This window comes from Homo sapiens, chromosome 17 (assembly GCF_000001405.40).
Source record: "Homo sapiens chromosome 17, GRCh38.p14 Primary Assembly".
In the NCBI taxonomy this organism is placed as follows: Eukaryota; Metazoa; Chordata; class Mammalia; order Primates; family Hominidae; genus Homo; species Homo sapiens.
Genome location: NC_000017.11, coordinates 6,062,306 through 6,083,506, shown reverse-complemented (window position 1 = coordinate 6,083,506; position 21,201 = coordinate 6,062,306). Strand labels below are relative to the sequence as shown.

The 21,201-nt window shown below is 53.3% G+C and overlaps 1 protein-coding gene across 11 annotated transcripts in view, besides 2 other annotated features; it reads right to left on the bottom strand.

The window, feature by feature from the left end:
- WSCD1 (WSC domain containing 1) overlaps window positions 1-14,391 on the bottom strand; it is a 55,312-nt gene extending 40,921 nt beyond the window's left edge. For 2 of the 11 annotated variants that reach the window (NM_015253.2, NM_001388411.1), the window contains exons 1-2: window positions 12,855-13,128; window positions 2,422-3,136 (exon numbers count right to left, since the gene is read on the bottom strand). In NM_015253.2, coding sequence (NP_056068.1) covers window positions 2,422-2,848 — 427 coding nt within the window. In that variant the 5' untranslated portion in view covers window positions 2,849-3,136; window positions 12,855-13,128. Of the gene's footprint in view, window positions 1-2,421; window positions 3,137-5,430; window positions 5,549-9,436; window positions 9,573-12,335; window positions 12,413-12,651; window positions 13,129-14,195 lie in introns of those variants that run through there. The other 9 variants (XM_005256572.2, NM_001388410.1, XM_047435701.1 and 6 more) reach the window with 8 other exon arrangements.
- Window positions 2,730-3,231: an enhancer, noted in NCBI's record as "H3K27ac-H3K4me1 hESC enhancer chr17:5983596-5984097 (GRCh37/hg19 assembly coordinates)". NCBI's record gives its function as "activates a minimal SCP1, AML or CMV promoter by ChIP-STARR-seq in naive H9 embryonic stem cells {active_cell/tissue: H9 hESC(naive)}" and the evidence as "EXISTENCE:reporter gene assay evidence [ECO:0000049][PMID:30033119]".
- Window positions 13,061-13,892: an enhancer, noted in NCBI's record as "H3K4me1 hESC enhancer chr17:5972935-5973766 (GRCh37/hg19 assembly coordinates)". NCBI's record gives its function as "activates a minimal SCP1, AML or CMV promoter by ChIP-STARR-seq in naive H9 embryonic stem cells {active_cell/tissue: H9 hESC(naive)}" and the evidence as "EXISTENCE:reporter gene assay evidence [ECO:0000049][PMID:30033119]".
- Window positions 14,392-21,201: the final 6,810 nt, after the last annotated feature.

Genomic DNA, 21,201 nt, shown 5'->3' with positions numbered 1-21,201 from the left:
TTGGGAGGCTGCTGGTCAGTTATAAAGGTCACTTCTCACTGAGTCCACAGCCCACTTCGCACGTGCCTCTAGCAGACCTCGGTCGTGCTTTGTAGAAATAATTTGGGTGCATATCTGACTCTATCACCAGACCGAGCTCCTCCAGGGCACAGTGAGGTGCACACGTGAAGAGTCATTTGGTGGCTCATCAGTAAGCGTGGAATGAAGGCAATGAAGAGAGGAACTGAGCCCACTATGCCCAAGGTCACATGCCCAATAAGTGGCAATACACAGGTCTATTTTTAAAACGTGTGCATTTTACATGGCTTCCTCTCAAGTAACGTTGACTCCTGCCGGTCAAGTATACTTTAGTCCAAAGAAGTTTCACTGATAAAACCTGCACAGAGACCCAGTCTCTTGGTGTGTTGCGGAGAGTTTGCAGAAATCATGCCTGTGTCAAATGAGCTGAAGCATCAGCTCCTCATTCCTCCCTCCCTTCTGACACACGAGCCTTGCTGAGAAATCCTACAGCAAGTGCAATGGCCTGAATGATTTCTGAAGGAACTTCCTTCCACAGCGACATGAACCCACAGCCCTCCAGTCTTTATTTGACTGAGCTACCAGTCAGTCTCCTAAAGTAAGGACAGCTTGGGCTCCGTTCTCTTCCACAGAACCTTCTCGTCATGATCAAAATAAAGCCAAACTCCTAGGCCTGGCACTCGTGGCCCTCCCTAACCCAGGCCCCAGTGCTCCTCCTGCCTCATCTCCTTTTATATTCTGCCAGGTGGTCCACTGTGCTCTGGCCACACTTATTACAGTCCAGAGAGCAGTTCCTCTTCTGACTTCGGGTGCAGGGCCCAGTGAGGTGGTGACAGGGATGCTGAGAAGCTGACTGAGCTCAGTCACCCTCCAACAACAACTTCCACGCTTACTGGGAGCTCCCCAAGCACCAGGCACATTTGCTGCACCCTGCAGAGAGAGTCTGCATAATTCAGCATAAACAGCTCCAACCCGGAGCCAGACTGTCCCCACGCTGGCATCCAGCAGTGTGACGATGGTAGACCCTGCCGTGTCCCTTCCATGTCTCCCAGGCCTGCCACTTCCAGCGGGTCCTTTGAGATGTGTATTCTGCTCTGGTACTGAGCCTCCAGCCGGATGAAGTCTGGTTGCCCATTTGTAACCTGCTTGATAACACACCCTTCACTGGCTGCCTTCCCTTCCCTGTCCCACTTCCCGCGCCCCCACTAGTGTTCCCTGGGATCACATCCCAAATATACTGGATGCACGTGAATCCTGGTTTCAGAGTTTGCTTCTAGGGAACCCACACTAAGAGAATAACCTTGGCAATTGACTCAACTTCTCCATGCCTTGGTTTCTTTACCTGTAAAACTGCGATATAATAATAATACCTGTAAACAGCAGACTTACAGGTGCATAGGAAATCCCATATGCATTAGCTGCTTTTATTAAGTCATAATAGCTGCCAGTTAGAGTGCCAAATAATATACCAGGGCCTCTGTCCTGGGAGTTCTCAGCTTCAGCATGCATCAGACTCACCTGGAGACAGCGTTAAATACAAAGCCTGCTGGCCCCTACCCCAGAGTTCCTGACTAGGCAACTCCGGGAGAATCTGAGAATTTGCACTTGTGACAAGATCCCAGGCGGAGCTGATGCTGCTGGTCAGGGACCCCACTTTGTGACCCATTCCTCTGTGTTATCACATTTGCTTGTCACAATAGCCCAGGAATGGCGTCTTTAGCTCCATTTCAGGCAGACCTGGTGACATTAAGTGACACGTCTAATTTTTTTTTTTTCTTTTTTTTGAGACAGAGTCTCCTTCCCAGGCTGGAGTGCAGTGGCCCGATCTCTGCTCACGGCAACCTCTGCTTCCCAGATTCCAGCGATTCTGGTACCTCAGCCTCTCGAGCAGCTGGGATTACAGGTATGCGCCACCACACCCGGCTAATTTTTGTATTTTTAGCAGAGATGGGCTTTCACCATGTTGGCCAGGCTGGTCTTGAACTCCTGACCTCAAGTGATCTGCCCGCCTCGGTCTCCCAAAGTGCTGGGATTACAGGCATGAGCCACTGCGCCCAACCTATTTTCATATATTCAATGAAACTTGTCCTACTAGATTCTCTGAGATTAAAAAAAAAAATTGTTGGCCAGGATTCCAGCCAATGTCTGTCTGAATCCAAAGCCGGAGCGCTAAGTGACCTGCTCACAACATCTCAGCCTTGAGCCATGTGGAACTCCAGCTGGTGAGTGAGCAAAACCCTGAAGGACTTCGCATCGCAGGCCCCTTCCTGTCCTGCAGAGCAGAAGGAAAGAACCATCTAGCGGTGAAGGCCACAGGCCTGCAGAGAGAAAGGGGACACCAAACCTGTGACCCTGAATGGGGGGTCCTGGGAACAGCTCCCCCAAATGCAGCTGAGCGCCTACCTCGGCTGTGGATGGCGGGCCTGGCAGCCTCGGGGCCCAGGGCGGGCGGTCCCTGGGAGTCACTCATGAAGTGGTGGAACCAGCGGCGACGCAACTGACGCAGCTCCGAGTTGCGGCTCCGGAGCCAGCGGGGGCCGGGCCGGGGCCGGGTCAGGGGGCTCTGCAGCATGTCCACACCCAGCAGCAGCTCTGGGCTGACTCGAGGGTCGTGCAGGGCTCTGCTGTCCAGCAAGCCCACGCCCAGCGCCACGGCGGCCACTGGCAAGGTCTGCAGGGGGCCGGGTGCCCGGGGGCCCTGTGGGAGAGCCACGCGGACCCGCTGCAGCAGCAGCAGGCTGCCGGTCATCAGGTAGGCAGCCGTGAGGAAGAACAGCAGGAACTGTGTTCGGCGGAGAAACTTCTGGAGTCGGAAGAAAGGTTTGGCCATGCCCCTGGGCAGCAGGGCTCCTGGCTGGAGCCCCGGGATGGCTCCTAGCGCCCAGGTGGGAGTGAGGCCAGGGCCTCCGGAGGCGTCATCCTTGCATCCTGGCTCCTGGCACCTGCCTGTGCTCGCCTGGGGTCACTCACTGTTCCTGCCCCGTTTCCAGTAGGTGTTCAAATGGCACCATTACTTATCTCCAGTGGCCACAGGGTCCTGCAGCTGCAGCCTCTGCCCAGGCGTCAAGGACATCTCCATTCCAGGGCTCTACCGCCCCTCATCTCCTGGCGCAGAAATCTGGAAGGTGGAGAAAGAGCACCGAGATGTAATAGGCGGGTCCACTACCTGGCACTCCCAGGCTGGGACACCCCTCACCCTGTGCTTGCTTTATCCAAGGACCAGCTGTGTTGCAGGAGCACTGGACAAAGCCAGGTTTAAATCCCAGCTTTGTTACTGGCCAGCTGTGTGACACTGGGTAGGTTGCTTAACCTTGCTGGGCCTCAGCTTCCCCATCTGTAAAATGGGGACAACAGCTCTCCCCTTGAGGAATAATGAGGAGTCAGTGATGACAGCAATATCAATAAGGGGGAGGAGGAACAGCAGCAGGGGCTCTTCCTCAGCCCTTCCTGTGTGTCAAGCACTCAGCTAAACACTTTACATATTATCTCACTTAACCCTGAAACCAATCCAACAACCTAGAGATATCATATCCCTGTTACACAGATGAGGAAACTGGCAAAAGAAGGCATATTAGCTAGTTTTTCCCAAGCCACACAGCTGGTAAACAGGAGAGCCAAGGTTTTGAAGAGTCTGTGTTCGGAGCCTGGACTCTCAATGACTGCATGGCCCAGCCTGCAATGAGACACTACCACATATAAATGTACCTAGCCCAGGCAGGACTATGTTGCAGATGCTTGATATATGCATGCAATCAGCTGACTCCCAGGGGTGCACTGGAACTGTGAGCCTGGGTTGGAAGGAGCTTCTGCACAGGCTGGTCGTTGGCTTTCACACAGGATGGGGCCCAGGGGAGGGAGGGGCTTGTGTAGCCTTCCCAGGCCTCCTGGACTCCAGAGGCCAGAATCAAAGGACCAGGGTAGCGCCTGAGCCGTGCACCTGCAAACAGAGGCTGAGCACCCAGAGAAGAGAAGGCAGAAGGCTCTCTGATCTGCCTTCCATGGGTCTCTCCACTCCCCAGGACTCAGCTGTCACTCTGGGTTTCGGTTCTCATTGGCGGCACCTCTGAAGTGTGCTGTTGGGGTTGGGAGAGGGTTTTGCAGCTGCCACGACCTGGGCTGTTGCGTGAGCAAAGCCCTTAGCACAAGGACAGGCTTATCCCAGAAAAAAAGGCCCCTAGAAGCGTGACTAAGCCACTGCCCGTAACTAACTTGGTCCGGGCCCCCCGCCAGGCCTGTGCAGCCACTCAATGGCTACTCTGTGCACCAGGGACAGACAGCGGGTGTGAGAGGAAGGACAATGTTTGGGCTGGCATTCCAGGCCCCCAGAAAGCTTGGAGGCTTCGGACAAAGACCCCAGATAGGCATGACCCTCTCTGAGTAAATGGCGAGGGCCGCCAGGTTCCGAGGCCCTCGGGGAGAGCAGAGATCTGGAAATCTGGGTCGGCTGGTCCTTTAGGCTGGGGCGGAGGTAGCAGACTCAGTAATCAGCAAATGAAGGTGGAATTAAACTCTGGGCTGGGAAATTGCAGACGGTTCTCCAGAGCTTCTATTTTCTAGGCTGATATGTCTGCCAGGCCCACCCCAGACAACCTCATCAGATTTGTAAAACCACAGAGAAAATCCCAAGAAATCCTGACTGATCTCTCTGCCTCCAGCTTTGGACCCTCCAATCCATCTTCCACAAGGCTGCCAGGGTGATCCTCCTAACATGCACATCTGATCATGGCGCGTCCCTGCTTAAAACCCCGTTCAATAGCCCCCTGTGGTTACTGGATAAACTCTAAGCTCCTTAGCATGACACACAAGGGCCCCTTCATGATCCAGCCCATCCAGCCTCATCTCTTGCCAGGTCTCTTCCTTTGGCTTCCCCATCTCACATGCACACGCATGCATGCACGCACACACACGCACACACACACACACACACCCTCCACATTCCAGCAGAGCCACCGGGAACCGGAACCACAGCACATCTGCCTCGGTGCCTTTGCACAAGCTACCCTTTATTTATGCTGTTTCCTTCCTCTTCACTTATCAAATCCCTGTGTATCCTCTAAGGCTCAGGCCAGATATTGTTCCTCAGAGAAAGCTTCCCTGAAGATTCCTCAGTCTTTCCACAGCCCCTGCTGACCCTCAGCCCAGCACTCACCATCCCGGGGTTGATCAGAACTGTCCATCTACTTGTCGGTTACCCTCCAAAGTCTGTAATCTCCTTAGGGGTAGAGGCCATGCCTCATTCATTTTCCTAACCCCAGCCCCAGCATGAGGCCTGGGAGTGTGGATGCTCAGTGATCATTGTTTATGAATACATCTTAAAAATGAACGAGACCACAGATAAATTGATACGCAAATCCTGACATCAGAAACCTGCTCCTATGGAGTCAGGGCAGTGAAATCTCAAATTCCACTTACCCAGAGCCATGGATGAAGCCTGAAACATGGGAGAGATGGAGCAGTGCATAGGCACAGGCCCCCAGGCGGTCCAGGAACACAGCTTAACGGAGCTGAGGGCTTTCAGACGCATGGAGTTAACAAGAGTGCCTGGGCTGAGCTTTATGTCATCCTTTCTGTGATGTAATTCTATGAGGAGGGGTCTCCAGGTCTGCTCACAAAGGGGCTCCGGTTACAAACTAGGGAGCACATTAATCCTGTATAACTGAAGGGAAGAGGGTAGCACTCCTGCTGTGAAAAGTTTTCTGATGAGATGGAGCAGAAAGGCAGGCAGGAGTTCAACAATTCGGAATTTTGAAGGCAGAGTATACTGGTGAATTCCGTATAGACTTTCTAGATAGGATTTGGATATACAATACAAGTAGGGCTGGGGTGAGGAGTGGTCAGAGCTGATGAATCAGGATTCAATACATCTCACACAGGGTCCCAAGGTCCTCCAAAGTATTTTCTGGCGCTCCCCCTTCCCAGAAGGGGTTTCCCTGGTCTGGGGAGGTGGGTGCTGGTGTGGACACAACAGACAGCCACGTGCAGGCCAGATTTCCATGGCCCAGGTCTTCTATGAAGCAGGCTGCACTCCCAACTTTTAAAATCACAAAGCAGATTCCTAGCCTGGAAAACTCATTGCGGGTAGACTGGTAGGGAGAAACAAAAGACTGGGCATAGTGGCTCATGCCTGTAATCCCAGCACCTTGGGAGGCCGAGGCGGGTGGATCACAAGGTCAAGAGATGGAGACCATCCTGGCCAACATGGTGAAACCCCGTCTCTACTAAAAATACAAAAATTAGCTGGATGTGGTGGCATGCACCTGTAATCCCAGCTACTCAGGAGGCTGAGGCAGGAGAAATGCTTAAACCTGGGAGGCGGAGGTTGCAGTGAGCCAAGATCACACCACTGCACTCCAGCCTGGTGACAGAGCAAGACTCTGTCTCAAAAAAAAAAAAAAAAAAAGCATCAGGAACTTGCAGGAACTTGTCACCCTGCCCTGGACTTCCACCACACTTTATAGCCAACATCACATCACACTGTCTCTCCTCAAGGCTGGCAGCCCCCCTCCAGGGCACAGACCACACCTCGTTTATCTCCATGTTCCCAGATCCCAGCACACAGCTAGCAGGGCAGTGATGGTAAATGTTTGCTAAGTGAATGAACCCAAAAGAGACCTGGGGGTGGGCTGGGAAACTTGGAGCATCTACACAAGGGCTCACAGCCAAGCCACGAGGTAAGTCAGACAGCACAACCGGCCAACACCTGGGGTCGGGGGCAGAATGCTAGCCACTGCTCATCTGCATAGGGCCTGGGAGGCCATCAGCTATACCCACTACATCCGAAAGCCAGCAGGCTGTCCATGACAGTAAACCTACCTCGAGCAAAGCATTGCACAGGGCAGGGCCTCAGGCTCATTGTCCATTAAATGGGGGTAAATATGCTTTATGGGATCGAATTAGGGAGTGGACATGAAACCTCCGCTACTCTGTTCCCTACAGACTGTGGCATGGATTGGTTATGAATGCAAAAGAGGCAAGCAAGGAAAAGCCGGAGGACGGGCCTGTAGTAGCTGTGCCACTGGTGAAGTCAGACTCAAGAGGCCTCTCCCCAGCTCTGAGCCCCCACAGTCCCTGGAGTGCACCCAGGATCCCACTCTTGCTCACAGCTGATCCCCATGCTGAGACTGCTGTTAGCAATTGCTTTGTCAATGCCACCATTTATGAAGCATTTGCAGTGTGAATAGGTTGAACTGGGCTGTGCACTTTACCTGCACCATCTCATTTCCTCCAGACAACCCACCAAGCAAATGCCCCGCATACCCCATTTGAGCACTGAGGTCTCTGAAGCTCAGCCAGGTGATGCACACTGCCTAAAGCCAGACAGCTCAGGGCCAGCACTCAGACCAGGCCACCTGCTCCCAGGGCCTACATTATGCCCACGAAGCTTCCTATTTCTCTCCCCATCCCAGCTCCGGTTTCACACGAGGCAAGATTTATTCTTGAGAGGAGTTTAGTGCGCCTCTGTCAGCACCTTTTTGAAGTCATGCCGGGCCAAAGCTCCTAGAGATGATGCCACACATGGTGTCTCCCCAGCCAAGCCTTCCAGACAGTGCCTTGTCCGTGAGTGTTCCCGCCCCAGCCCACTGGGACTGGGAGGCAGCCTGGGGCCCCTCCCCTCTGAAAGTCTGGAGAATTTTTCCCCAAGGTGTGCTTCCTGTGGGCACCTCCCATCTTGGAACCCTGCAGAGTGCTTCAGGGGGAGGCTAGAGGGGTTCTATCCCTGCCTGGGGCTTGGCCTTATTGGGGGTAGAGGGGGCACGCCAGGGCTGGACAAAGGTGCACACCCACTGCCCTGTCCTGGGGTCACCCTACAGAAGAGCAGGGCCTGGGGAGGGAGATTCTGAGTTCCCTGTCAAGCATGAGAAGAGAGTAACAGAACAAATGGGCTTCTGGAAGTCTCAGGGAGGGAGCAGGAGCCCAGAGCACCTGGATATTCAGACAACCTGAGCTTTTGTCTATTACTTTGTTGCCATCTGGGACCGAGGGAGCAGCAACTGCCCAGCCTGAATGATGGGTGGCTTGGGCTGGTCAGGTGGCCACTTCTCAGCCAGGCTAGGGGTCCAGAGACTGAGGGGTGGCAGCAGGGAGAGGAGAGGAGGCAGTCCCTGGGGCTGGGGGCTGCAAGATAGAACTCGGAGCTGGCCCAGGTGCAGCCAGTGGCCACTGGGGTTCAGTCAGATGACTCAACCTCCCCGTGACCCCCGGTCAGAGAGAACAGGCAGAGGCAGCTGAAGGGAAAATGACACCAGACATCCCCAGAAGGATCTCAGCTACTGTGGCAGCTGCAGCAAGGGCTGCAAACCTCTTGGGACTTGGAGCTGCCTGCTCTTTGCAGGGCAGGAGCCCCAGCGACAAGAATAGGGCCCAGAACGTTGCTCTCTAGACAAGGTGATGGGCATCTGGGTCCTAGAAGCTCGAAGCCTCAGCCTCAGTGACTGGCAGCCAGGGGGTCTCAGCTTCAGGACCCGGGCAGAGTACATGCAGGAGCCTCCAGCTGGGCTCACAGCTCCTGGATTCCCCTCCTGTGACTTTCCCCTTGCCCCTGCCCCTACCCCGCTCAGGCATAGCGCCTGGCTTCTGTACCCCATCCCCTCTCCAAAAGACTGTCCCCTTTCCATCTAAGAAAGTGATCTTTCTAATATGAGGAGCTAATGATGCCACAGCCTGTAATGGCTTCCCAGGGATTGACAAGCAAGCCCTGTATCCCACCAGAGCATCACCTGGTTAGCGAGAGAGGCGTCAAGCACCCTCACGCATGCCCTTCCACCAGCCAGGGATGCTTGTGCCCCATCTCACGGCTCTGAAATGCTTCAGGCCATCAAGGTTCAGCTCCCATGCCTCCTCTTCCATGAAGCCTCCCTGATCTCTGGAGCAGAACCACTCCTCAGTGCTAGGCACTAAGCAGCAAGGCTGCTGCTACAAACTGTGCCTGGGTAGTGTGTGGTCTTGAGTCAGGGTTCCCTGCTAATGTCCCTACCTCTCCTTCCAGCCTGTAGGCCTGTCAAAGGCACAGTCAGTGCCTCTGCCCACCTCTGGGTGGGGCACAGGGAATGCCCCTGAAAATAAGTGCCTGCTGGACTGGACATCCTTCGATGCTCAGGGCCATGCTGCCATTACTGACAGGCCTAACAACTCTGGGTCTTGGAGACTGAGAAAAAGCAAGAGACCCACTAAACAAAAATCTGTTGGGCCCTTTGGGGGAACAAGGTCTGGGAAATGCAAATGGGGTGGGATCCCTGTCTTTGATGAGGCAAATCTCTTGAGAGTTTGAACTTCAGAGCTTGAAAAAAGATTCAAAATTTTAATATGTTGCTAAAAGGGTATAAAACATAATAGGTCAAAACTCCATTCCACACAAAGGAGGGAAACCTCTTCAATTAACCCACTGTTGGGGTTCATATAAATAAAAAATTTAACATACCATATTAGAGTTCCAGGTACTTTCACCAACTGTCAAGTGCATTGGATGAATGATCAGATGAACAAATGAATGAGTGATCTTCCCACAAATCTGTGAGGCCAAAATCATTATCGTCCCCATCATACAGATGCAGAATCTGAGACAGAGAAGGCCAATTAACTTGAACAAATACAAACGGCTATTGCTAAGTCGCTCTGATTCCAGAGCATATCATCACCAGCCATATCACATGGTCTTCATGTGTGCAATACCAAGGACAGAGATCCTTCCAAGCACCATGCTGGAGGCTGGGTCCACACAGAAAGACACAGCACCAGCGCCGGGGCCGGCATTTTTCCTTTCCTGGTGCCTGATTTGGAGCCTTTCTCACTTTTGAAACAGCCAGTCGCAACCTTTTCCAGCCTATCTCTGGGTTATCTCTTTTATTTTTATTTATTTTTCAAGAAGGAGTCTCGCTCTGTCGCCCAAGCTAGAATGTAGTGGCATGATCTTGGCTCACCGCAACCTCCGCCTCCTGGGTTCAAGCGATTTTCCTGCCTCAGCCTCCCTAGTAGCTGGGATTACAGGCACACACCACCATGCCCAGCTAATTTTTGTATTTTTAGTAGAGATGGGGTTTTGCCATGTTTGCCAGGCTGGTCTCAAACTCCTGGACTCAGGTGATCTGCCCACCTTGGCTTCCAAAACACCAGAATTACAGGTGTGAGCCACCACGCCTGGCCTGGGCTATCTCTTTTATAGAATCTTATTTTGTTTACTTATTCATGTGTTTCTTCCACCTGGTGCTGAAAGCTTAAGGGTCGTCTCAAGCCCATCCCAGAATCTGGAAGGTAAACAGGTGTTGAAACCCCACGGAGTGAGTTGGATACAGGTGGACAAGTGAGTGGAGTGCCCAACCAAAGTCAGACCTGCCCAACTTGATGCTGCCACTGGGCACTCGGGCTATGGGAGAGAGGCCAAGACAGCCTGCTGCACATCCTTGTCCTCAGAATACTCTCGACCCCCTCATGTCAAGGGAGCCACTCTCTAGAAGGGAGCTCACATCTCCAGGGGCTTCCGGCAGCAAAGGAAGGGAAGCGAAGTGAAGGGGAGGGGCCTTAACAGCTACCAGCAGGTGCACTGTATTTCATAGCTGATGAAATGAATCCAGCCCATTCTTCCATCCACTTCTCACATCCACACCAGGAGGCAGGGCATATGCAGAGTTCCTCCCTGACCACATTCTCCAAGTGGCACACTTCCGATAATTTTTCAGGCCGTATGTCAGCACGATTGTCAAAGCCATGATGAGGAGAGATTAAAGGAAGAATGTGAAGGCCAGACCAGGAGGCCCAGGGAGAAGGTGGTGAGCGGAAAGCCACATTCATTCCCTCATTCCCCAGATGAGCAGCCCTGGATGTTAGGGCCCAGCTCTGGCCCTGCTAGTGTATATGATTATCACCTGCATTTTAAGGCCTAAGGCCCTGAAGGTCTAAACACTGAGCTGCCCCAAAGTCCTTGGCCTTGACCTCATTGTACCTCCAGAGAAAGAGTCAGGGAGCTGGTCTCACCAAGGCTGATGGGGGTCTGAGCTGGATGGGAGTACAAGCTTGGAGCTTCTATAATGAGAAACACCACTTCCCTAGAGGCCCTGCTCGGAGGGGTTCCATCAGGGCCTGGAGGCTCTGGATTCAGAGGCTCTGAGTCGCCTGCTCAGGCTGATGCCATAAGGAACCAGCTCTGTGACTCATTCCCCAGTGCTCTGGCCAAACTGATCAGGTTGGAGGCTCAAGCTTCAGCAGCAGACCCACTAGTGGCACTGAATATCCACTTCTGCTCGGTTAGGAAGACAGGAGGAAGAGACAGGAGTCTGGCCTTCTGCCTTATCCCAGCTTCTCTTCACTTCCAACCAGACATGCCACAGGCCACAGGGCAGTACCCCATAGGGCACAATGCCCACTGAAGAGAGGGATCCCCTCACCCCAGAAGAAGGCATTTTTACAGAGGAGCTGTGGAAATGGCCCTGCTGAGGCCTGGAGGATGCAGCCACAGGTGAGAGCCTTCTGGCGGAGAAGATGAGGCAGTCAGGCTCAGCCACCAGCCCAACCACCGCCAAGCCTCCTTCAGATCCCATGCCTGGGAGAGCTCCTGCTCTTCCTCCTAGAAACCCTGAGCTCTGGCAGCCGGTTGAGGCCCCTTCCCGGAGGATCTCCTGAGGGCCAATCTAAGTGTGTGGGGGTGGGGGCATGATTGAGAGAGACAAACCTCATTCTCCCATAGCCCAAGGAAACCTCCCCTAGCTCTCTCCCCAGCACCTGCAGCCACCAGGAGTGGGTGATTGCAAACAGCGCAGGGCAAGCCAGCTTTATATCTCCTGTAACTTTCACTCCCCACCACCCTCACTTTCTGTGCCTGACAACCTAGGCAAATCAGAGGAAAAAAGAAAGGCCCCCACTCCTGATGCCAAAGTGGGATAAACCAAGTGCCTCCATAAACCTAAGCATGCTGTTCCAGCAACAAGAGGGATGCGGGTATCTCATGTTAGAAAAGTACAGCGGAGTCCTGCATCTGTCCATCTTGGGAGCTGCAGGGGCAGGGCCAGTGTGGGGAGCAGCTGGATCCCAGTGCAGGGCTATGAGGCTAGAACTCCTATATGAGCCTTCCCACTGCTCAGCGGAAGGAAGAGCGGTCCCCTTCCCCACCCGCATTCCCGATCAGCAGAGCAGGCATCATCCCAGGCGCACAAATGCTCAGGAAAACCACCAGCGAGGTTACCCGGAGGCAGGGGACCCAGCCAGGTACGTACGCTCCTGAGTAGCCAAGAAAAACGCAATTTAGCAACCTTCAGTCGTGAGTCTCCGTCCACACCTACGAAGACGCAAAGCTCTACACTAGGTAATTTTCTGGACAAAATACATACGTTTTGCTTTTGCCTCTGCCTCTGTTCAAGTTCACCAAGAGACGGAGCAAACCCTCCGCTGACCGGAAGCCTCTCTTGGTAGCGGAACGAGAGGGAGCTGCTTCTGGGTAAACGTCGCCGCCTAGGAGGGAAGCTGTGCGCACCCCACACCCTGCCCTCGCCCCCTCCCCGGGACCAACCGCAGCGCCCTCCCGGGTGACGGACGGGCTCTCAGGACTCCGGAGGGGGACGCGGCTCGTGCGGCGCCTCGCGCACCCCCACCCCATCCCGGCCGCGCCGAGCGCCGCCCCCGCCCCCCCACAACCCCTGCACGCACCCGCTCACTCTCCCCTGCCCCGGCCGAGCCGCCCCGGGCCCCCGGGAAGGTGCCCCCGGCAAGCCCGCCCTGCAGCCGGAGCAGGTGCAGCCCCGCCGCGCTCCCAACCGCGTCTGCACAAACTTGTTTGCCCGCGGCAAGGGGAACACCCTGCTCGCAGCCCGCGCGGGGGTCCGGCTGGAGCGCCGAGAGACAGGACTCACCCCGCGATCGCGGCCGGCTGGGGCGCCCGCACCCGCGCCCATGGCCCGCCTTCCCCGGGCGCCGAGCCCGCAGCCCCCCGCAGTGCCCGGAGCCCAGAAGCCCCGGCGCCCGCACGTCTCCGGCCGCCCGCGGCAAGCGGACCCACGCGCCCGGGCACAGGGCGCCGCCGCCTGGCTCCCCGGGGCTGCTGGCGTCCGGGCTGAACGGCGGGGCGGGCGGGCGGGCGCGGAGCCGGGGCGGGCAGCGGGCGGGCGAGCGGGCGCCGGGCTCTGCACATGCTCACTCGCGCGGCCCGGGGACAGCGGCCGGCCGCCGCCGGGTCCTAGAGGCGCCGGTGCGCACCTCCCGCCGCCCGGGGGAGGGGTCGCGGCTCCGCCGGAGGGGGCCCACGCCCTGCCCCGGCCCGCGAGAACACGCGCGCGGGGCGGGCCACACGCGCCACTGCCGAGCAGAGACGCCGCCACCCACTCTGATACACACACACACACACACACACACCAGTCACCCAGAGCCACAGCCTTTCACCGGGGCCCCACGGGCTCTAACACACGCACCATGACGCTCACACCCAGACACAGACCCACAAACACACGGGGCACTGCCGCGCAGAGGAGAGCACGCCGCCACTCTCCCATGCAGACTCACAGCGACAGCCGCACACTGCCTGACACACACATCCCGAATCACTGCTTCCCAGAGACACCGACACCCACACTCACACACACACTCTCTGGGCTCTGCCCCACTCACCCAGAAGCAGACTGGGCCACTGTGACAGGCACGCACACGTACACACACAGCCACACAGTTTAGAGTGCACTCTAATACACACACACACCACACACGCACGCACACACACACACACACACACACACACCGGATCACCGTCCCATGCAGAGCTAGAGACAGACGGTCACAGCTTCACACACATTCACACTCAGAAACAAGCACCTGCTGGAACACAGACACTCTCACACAATCTGAGACAGACCTACACAGAATTGCAGCCCTACAAATACCCTGACACCAGCTCCCGCGTCTACACACTCGGGGGTCGGCCGCCGGCTTATCATACTGCTCCACACCGCACACAGTGACAAACCCACGCCTTGACATAGTTGCCCACAGAAGCAATGTCACACACTGGTGTCTACTAACAGACACACTCTCAGAGGGGCATACTGGGCATTGACCCACAGGCTCTCTCTCTCTCTCTCTCTCTCACACACACACACACACACACACACACACACACACACACGCACCGAGGTGGAAAGAGGCTGAACAGTCACACAAGTCTATACACAATCCCCCTCTTTAAATAAAGGCTGGATCCAAACCTAAAGATTTTTCCCAGGGAGGAGCCCCACCCTGTTCCCCCAAAGCCGCCAAGTCACAGCATCTGCCCTGCTCTGCCATGTGCACCGGTGGACCCTGTCCTCACCCGGAGCTGGCTGCTAAGATGCTCCCAGAAGCTGAGGACAGCAGAGGCAGCAGGAGCAGGTGGTGGTGCCTCTTACTCCGTCTTCCTAAAAGGGAGTTTCATGCCTCCGACTCCCGCTAGGGGCAGAGCTGCTTGGCCTGGCTCCGAGGAGCTGGCTTGCAACAGGTGCAGGTGGCAGGGAAAGCGTTTGCCTGGGGACCAGTCACAGTCCCTCCTTACGCGGGTCAGTCAGGTGGCGCCCAGAGCGGGAAGAGACTCGCTGCAGTTTGCATAGCTATGTCTGGCCAAGTGCAGAATTAGAACAGAGTCTGCACCATCCGCATGAAGGCAGAATGCTCTGAAGGTCTTGGGGCACCTGGATTTAATATCCTTAAGCCCAGGAAGAGGATACAGTAAGTGAGAGACGAATTCTGTGCTGCCTCAGAGTCCCAACCTTGCAGAAAAGCCCCCTTCACATATATATCCTTTACAGAATGTGAATGTGTGTGTCGTTACGATTTATAACAGCAACCCACTGTGCAGTCTCGCAATGCTGTTTGGTTTGCAAAGCCCTCTCCATGACCAGCTACATAATTTGAAGGGCCTAAAATAAAAATGGAGCCCCCTTTTAAAACACTATCAAGAATTTCGAGAGATAAAAGGAGGATATTAAACCAGTACGGGTCCCTTCTGAGCACAGAATTCAGAGCCTTTCACAGATCTCATACCCATGAAGCCAGCCCTGGCCCTCTCGTACCCATTGTCCCACTTAAAACTGATAAGTCTATAGATGCCTTCATGTGCCCATTTGACAGATGAGGCTTTCAGGTGGGTGATCACAAAAGGCTCACAGCCAGTTGAGCCCAGGGGAATTCAAGCCCAGCTCCTCTGGGAAGCCAGACATTTCCCGGCAGCTGCTATTCAGAAGTGTCCATCTGCAGCAGCAGACACTTGGTACAGAATAATCAAGCAGAAGAGTTGATGTGGCTGCCACCAGGGAAGGAGGTGACTCAAGAAGAAAAAGCAAAAGGCTGCTGGGTATCCATGCCATCTGTGCTCGATGTCACGCTGCACCTGCCCTGCAAAGCACCCCACCAGGGGAACACCATACAGCCCCTGTGTGGGTAGAAGCTAGAGTCAACTACTGACTCTAGGGAGGGAGGTTGAGGAAGGAGGCGCATGAAAGAACCCAGGAAGTAATTGAGAAGGGCTTGGGAGTCAACACGGCCAGGAGTATTTCAGTGTCAGGACAAAGCCCTTCTTTCTAGTGATGGTGACCAGTAAGAAGTGATAGGGAGGACTGATAACAGAGTCACTCCTAATCACAGTCCAACTCCTTGTCCCTCAGCTCTTCTCTCCACATAGTTGGGACTGTTTCATAGTAACTTGTATACCATCCCTGTCCCAAAAGCAATTGGTCCCACAATGCTGCCATCATATGTCCATTTACTGCTGAGAAATGTATCCCCCCACCCCCCAGGAGTCTGGGACTAAGAATCAGACAGGTCTGATGTCACATCAATCCCATCTCTCTGTGTTTCGCTCTTGAGTCATCCGCTCCTCTCTTTGCAGACCTCAACTATTGGATCCTAGGTATTTACATCACCTCCTTACTTCACGTCATCTGATAGCTTATTCTTCCTTCCTTCCAGCCACCCATCTTTTCATGTATTTACTAAGCAAGGCACCCATTGTGTGTTAGATTTTGTGTTGAACACTGGAGAGTCTTTGATAAAAAAGAACCGGTCCCCTGCAGGAGTTTCCAGTGTGAAGAACTGGACGAGAAAACAGACCAAAGTGAAAACATACCACAAAGAGAGAGCTCTGCTGTATCAGTCAGGATGCCTGCAGCCTCAAGTAACAAATAGCAAAGTAAAAGTGGTGTCAAGCAAAGGGTTTATGATCTCAGACAGCAAGACGCCTGGAGGTAGGCAGTTCCAAGGTTGGGTGATTCAGTCACTCAATGATGTCAGAATCTGTGGTGGCCTCTCTGTGCTCCCTGGACCGCCCCCTCATGACTGCAAAATGACAACTGAAGCGCTGTTCGTGACTTCCCCAAATGACAATACCCTAAGGCAAGAAAGAAAGGGACACTTCTTCCCACAAGTTTCTTTTTTCACTGGATAAGGAAACTTTTGCCAGATCCTCCTTCTGGCAAGGCCCATTGGCCAGAAGTGAACCCTGTGAGTACCCCTCAGCCAATACCTGGCCAAGGAGGAATGGGTTTGGCTAATTATAATTCATCCTCTGGGGATAGGCCAGTCATCTCAGAGCGCATCCCCACTTGATCAAAATTGTTTCTATGTTAGTAGATGGCTGCTGGGATGGCAACTAGCTGTGATGATAGATAGATAGATAGATAGATAGAGAGATAGATAGAGAGATAGATAGAGCGAGCATTGGAACCTAAATGACTCGCAACCTCAGTGTGGAGGAATTCAGGGAAGGCTTCCTGGAGGAGGTGACATGTAAGCTGGCTTTTAGAGGAGAAGTGGGCATCATCTGGGTCACCAGGTGCAGGGGCCATTCCAGACAAGGGTGGGGGGCATCCTTTGCAAAGGCAGGGAAGTGTGAAACACACAGGCTGTCACAGAAACTGCCAGTGACTTTGCACTAGCTGGTGCAAGGTCAGAGGTGGTTGGAGAGGAGGCTGAACTGTGACTGGCCACTGAACCCCGACTAGCCACTGAACCCCCATTCAGGCCACTGGCACCAGTGGACAAGGCAGGGCTGTGGACCACGCTTGAGCCACCACTATGATGAGCTCCCTTCACGGTGGTCATCTAGTCATCATCAGCCGTGGAAATGGTCATTCAACCAGTTATGAGTCATCAGCCATCCTACACTTCTATGTCATGTTGACAAAGGCAGCCTGACTAGTCATAGGCATGGGGGTGACAAGCCCACGTGGGGGTGAGGGCCGGGCGTGGGGCTCATATCTCTCTCGCCTTGACCAAGTCACAATCTCTCTGGGCCTCAACACTGTCATCTGCAAATCAGAGAAAATGCCTCCTTTATGGGAGTGCTTGTAAGGACCAAATAAAATGTCTGTTGAGTGTGAAGCAAAACAACATTTGCCATGGAATACGCACATAACACATTTTAGTAAATATTACAAGAAGGGGTTTTCCCCAAAGCTTTGCTAAAATCCAGAAATGCCACATGTGCAATGTTCTACTGAGCCACCAAGCTTGTGATACGTTCTCTTCCTCCACATGCCACCGCCCCAGAGCCTGCCCTGTCATTCTGGCTAAAGCATCCACCTCACTGTCCAGTTTCCAGTCTTCATGGAACATTGCCCTATCATCTCTTTGTGTGTTTGTTGGTTTATGATCTGTTGTCTCCTTCCCAACCCTCACAGCCCCCACTGCTAGAATTTAAGCTCTAATATGGCCCGGGAACTTACTATCACATTCAGAACTTTATCCTTGGTGCCAAGTTGAATTCTTGGTACATAGGCATACTTACTAAATATTTATTAAATAAATAATTGTGTTTTTAAAAACATGATGTGCCTAGCATGACATATTTTTAATAAACCCAAGAAGGCTTCCCACAGTCGTCATGTTTCTTCCCAAGAATTCAAGAGGCTGCTTCCCCTTGCTCTGGTCACAGACTGATCCCTGTATCCAGTCCATTGGATTCTACTGGCCACCAGGGAGACCCAGAGGATGAGTGCGGATGGCTCACTGCACCGCGTGCCCCTGCCAGGGACCGTGGTGGGATGAGGAAGCAGGTGCTCCATCGACACCCAGAGGCACCTCAGTAATCTCCTTTACCCATGCAGCTTGGCTGTATGCTCCACCAAGATGTTGGCCCACAAGGTGACACGGGCTTGACTGTCTCACCTGTGAAGGTTGCCTTTTGCTCCTCTGGACACTGCCTCATCTGAAAAAGCATCATTCAGAGATGGAGAGAAACTTTGGCAACATCTCCAAAGTGGAGATGCAGTTTCTTCTTTCTTTGCTTTGCTTTTTCCCCGCATAGTGCTGAGAAGTATTCGATGCCTGCTCCATGCAGGCAGATCTGAGGCTGGGTTCGGCACTTTGCTGGGCTGTGTATTTACTTGCTTTCTCCTGTGAGTGCTGCAGCGACTTAAATATGCCTCTGTAAAGATGCCAGTGACACAGATGGTAATTGTACCCCCTGCTGAGCTGTGCCTGCAGACACAGGGGTGTCAGGGGTGGGAGGGCGGCAGGGAGAAGTGGAATAGGTAATCTGTACCTGACTGGGAAGGGAGGAGCCTCCCGGATCACTGGTCTGGTCTAGAGGCAACTAGACTTCCTAGGCATGGGCCATTGGTACCCAGAAAGCTTCAGTAATTCACAGGTGGCAAAGAGAGCACAGTGAGGAAGCCTGAGTTCCTTTTCTGGCTAGAGGTGAATAGGCTATGTGGTCTTATGCAAACCTTACCTCTCTGAGTCCTGTTTTGCCCTTCTGTAAAATGGGCAGGTTTTCTAGTTGCTCCTGAAGAGCCTTTCTTTAAGGAAGGCAGGGGAATAAGACGAGAGTGATTTGGGGCCAGTCGTGCTTTTTTAGTTTGGGAAAATGACATCATTTTCCCAGATGTAGTTTTTTAATCTGCAAAATGGGGAAAGTATTTTATTTCTAGTGAAGAGTTTCTGGCATAGGGTTTATATTCAAGAAATGATAGCTATGATGATTCTTCCAGCTCTAACCAGTTCTGGTGTGGGGTGTGATATAGCAGGTGCTGGAATAAGGGTGGTTAGATTTGGGTTTATAACGTCCTGACCCCACATCACCCCCTCTACTGGCACAGGGGCAGCAGCTGGGCAAGTCTGAGGGACAGAAAGCATTGAGGGACCACAGATTGCAGAAGTTGGTGGGGTTAGAGGCAGAGCCTGTGGGATCAGCCATCCACTGGAAGGTGCACGGGTACTGGGGCAGCAAGAAAGCCCTGGTGCAAGAGGATGGCAAAAGTGGTCCCTGCTTTGCTCCTCCTGCCTACCTGGGGTGCACCAGCCAGTAGACACAGGTGCTTAGGAGAGAAAGCACCTCGACTTTACCCCATTTTTATGAATTTTCCGATAAGTCACTCATCAAAGGTCTTGAACTTGCAAGTCATCTTCTACATTAAGCTACTGGACACCTCAAGCTGATAGCATTGATAAGAGAGGAGGTGGGTCCACTTTAATAAACTTTTCATTTTGGAAGAATTTTACATTTACAGACATGTTGCAAAGAGAACCGAGATGGCTCATGTACCCTTCACTGGTTTTCCCCGTTGTTAACCTCTTTTATTACAATTGTACTTTTTCGGAAACAGAGTCTTGCTCTATCACCCAGGCTGGAGTGCAGTGGTGTGATCTCGGCTCACTGCAACCTCCACCTCCCAAGTTCAAGCGATTCTTGTACCTCAGCCTCCCAAATAGCTGGGACTACAGGCTTGTACCACCACGCTCAGCTAAGTTTCGACTTTTTAGCAGAAACGAGGTTTCACCACGTTGGCCAGGCTGGTCTTGAACTCCTGGCCTCAAGTGATCTGCCCACCTCGGCCTCCCAAAGTGCTGGGATTGCAGGCATGATCTACCGTGCCCAGCCTACTGTAGTACTTTTGTCAAAACAAAGACATGGGTTGACATTGACACATAGCTATTAACTAAACTCCAGACTTTACTTAAGTTCCACTGGTTTTTTCACTGATGGCCTCGTTCTGCTCTAGGATCCAATCCAGGGTACCACACCGCGTTGCGATGTCATGTCTCCCCACTCTCTTCTGGTCCGTGATGGTTTCTCAGTCCTGCCTTGCTTTTTGTGACCTTAATAGTCTTGAGACGTACTAACCACGTGGAGTGTCCAGTGGGCTCATTTCAAACAACCAGACATCACAAACTAAAGGAGATTTTGAAGCTGGTGGCACCATGTGACTACTGCTGCCACCTCTTGGGGCATAGGGCCTATTGGCCAACCTCCAGTGAGAGAGAGCTGGTTGGTGTCCTAAGGAAAGGCAGGGAGGAGGGGATGCTGCTGTGGAAGAAATTCTAACAGAACTGGGGCTAGCAGATGGCTGGTGGCTGAAATGAAATTCTGGAGAAAACATGATGTCAAGTTCCGAACGCACGGCTGACAGATTCCCGAAGGCATACCTGGTCTGGGTGAGGGGCCGCTCCCTCATTCCCTGTGCCCCTCTTCATCCCAGTGGCACAGGAAAGGGTCACTGGAGAAGCAGAGTGGTTTCTCCCCAGCCTCTACTTCCAGCTCTGCTCTTTGACCCCATATGGGCAGATTTGTCCACTTAAACAGCCAGCCGCCCCCTGCCGTATTTCAGCTCAAGAGAGAACAACACACTGATGTCAATGGGTGCAATAAATGCTTTGTAAGCATCCTTTCCAGGGCAAATTAATTCTTTGTTTGGAAATATTTTTAAGAAAGTGAAACGCTTTTAGTTCTTTCTAATCCCTTTCCTCGACCTCTCCTTTTTAGGGCTTTCTGTTGGAGCACATAAAACTAGCTGTACTGCTGGCTCTTTTCTGTGTCATCTCGGGACCATGAGGTGACAAGCCAACCCTCTAAGGGGAAAAAGCACAAATAAAACAGTATCCCAGGCCCTTGGTGACACACCTGAGCTTCTCTGCCAATGGAGGACCCTTTATCTCTGAACATATGTCAGAAAAATAAAGTCTATTTGTACTGGTGAAAACAATCCTGCTCACTTAGGTGGCTTTTTTTTTGTTTGTCTGTTTGTTTGGGTTTTTTGTTTGTTTGTTTGTTTTGTTTGTGGTTTGTTTTTTTGTTTGTTTGTTTGTTTGTTTTTTGAGACAGAGTCTCCCTCTGTCGCCCAGGCTGGAGTGCAGTGGTGGGATCTCGGCTCACTGCAAGCTCCACCCCCCGGGTTCATGCCATTCTCCTGCCTCAGCCTCCCGAGTAGCTGGGACTACAGGCGCCTGCCACCACGCCCGGCT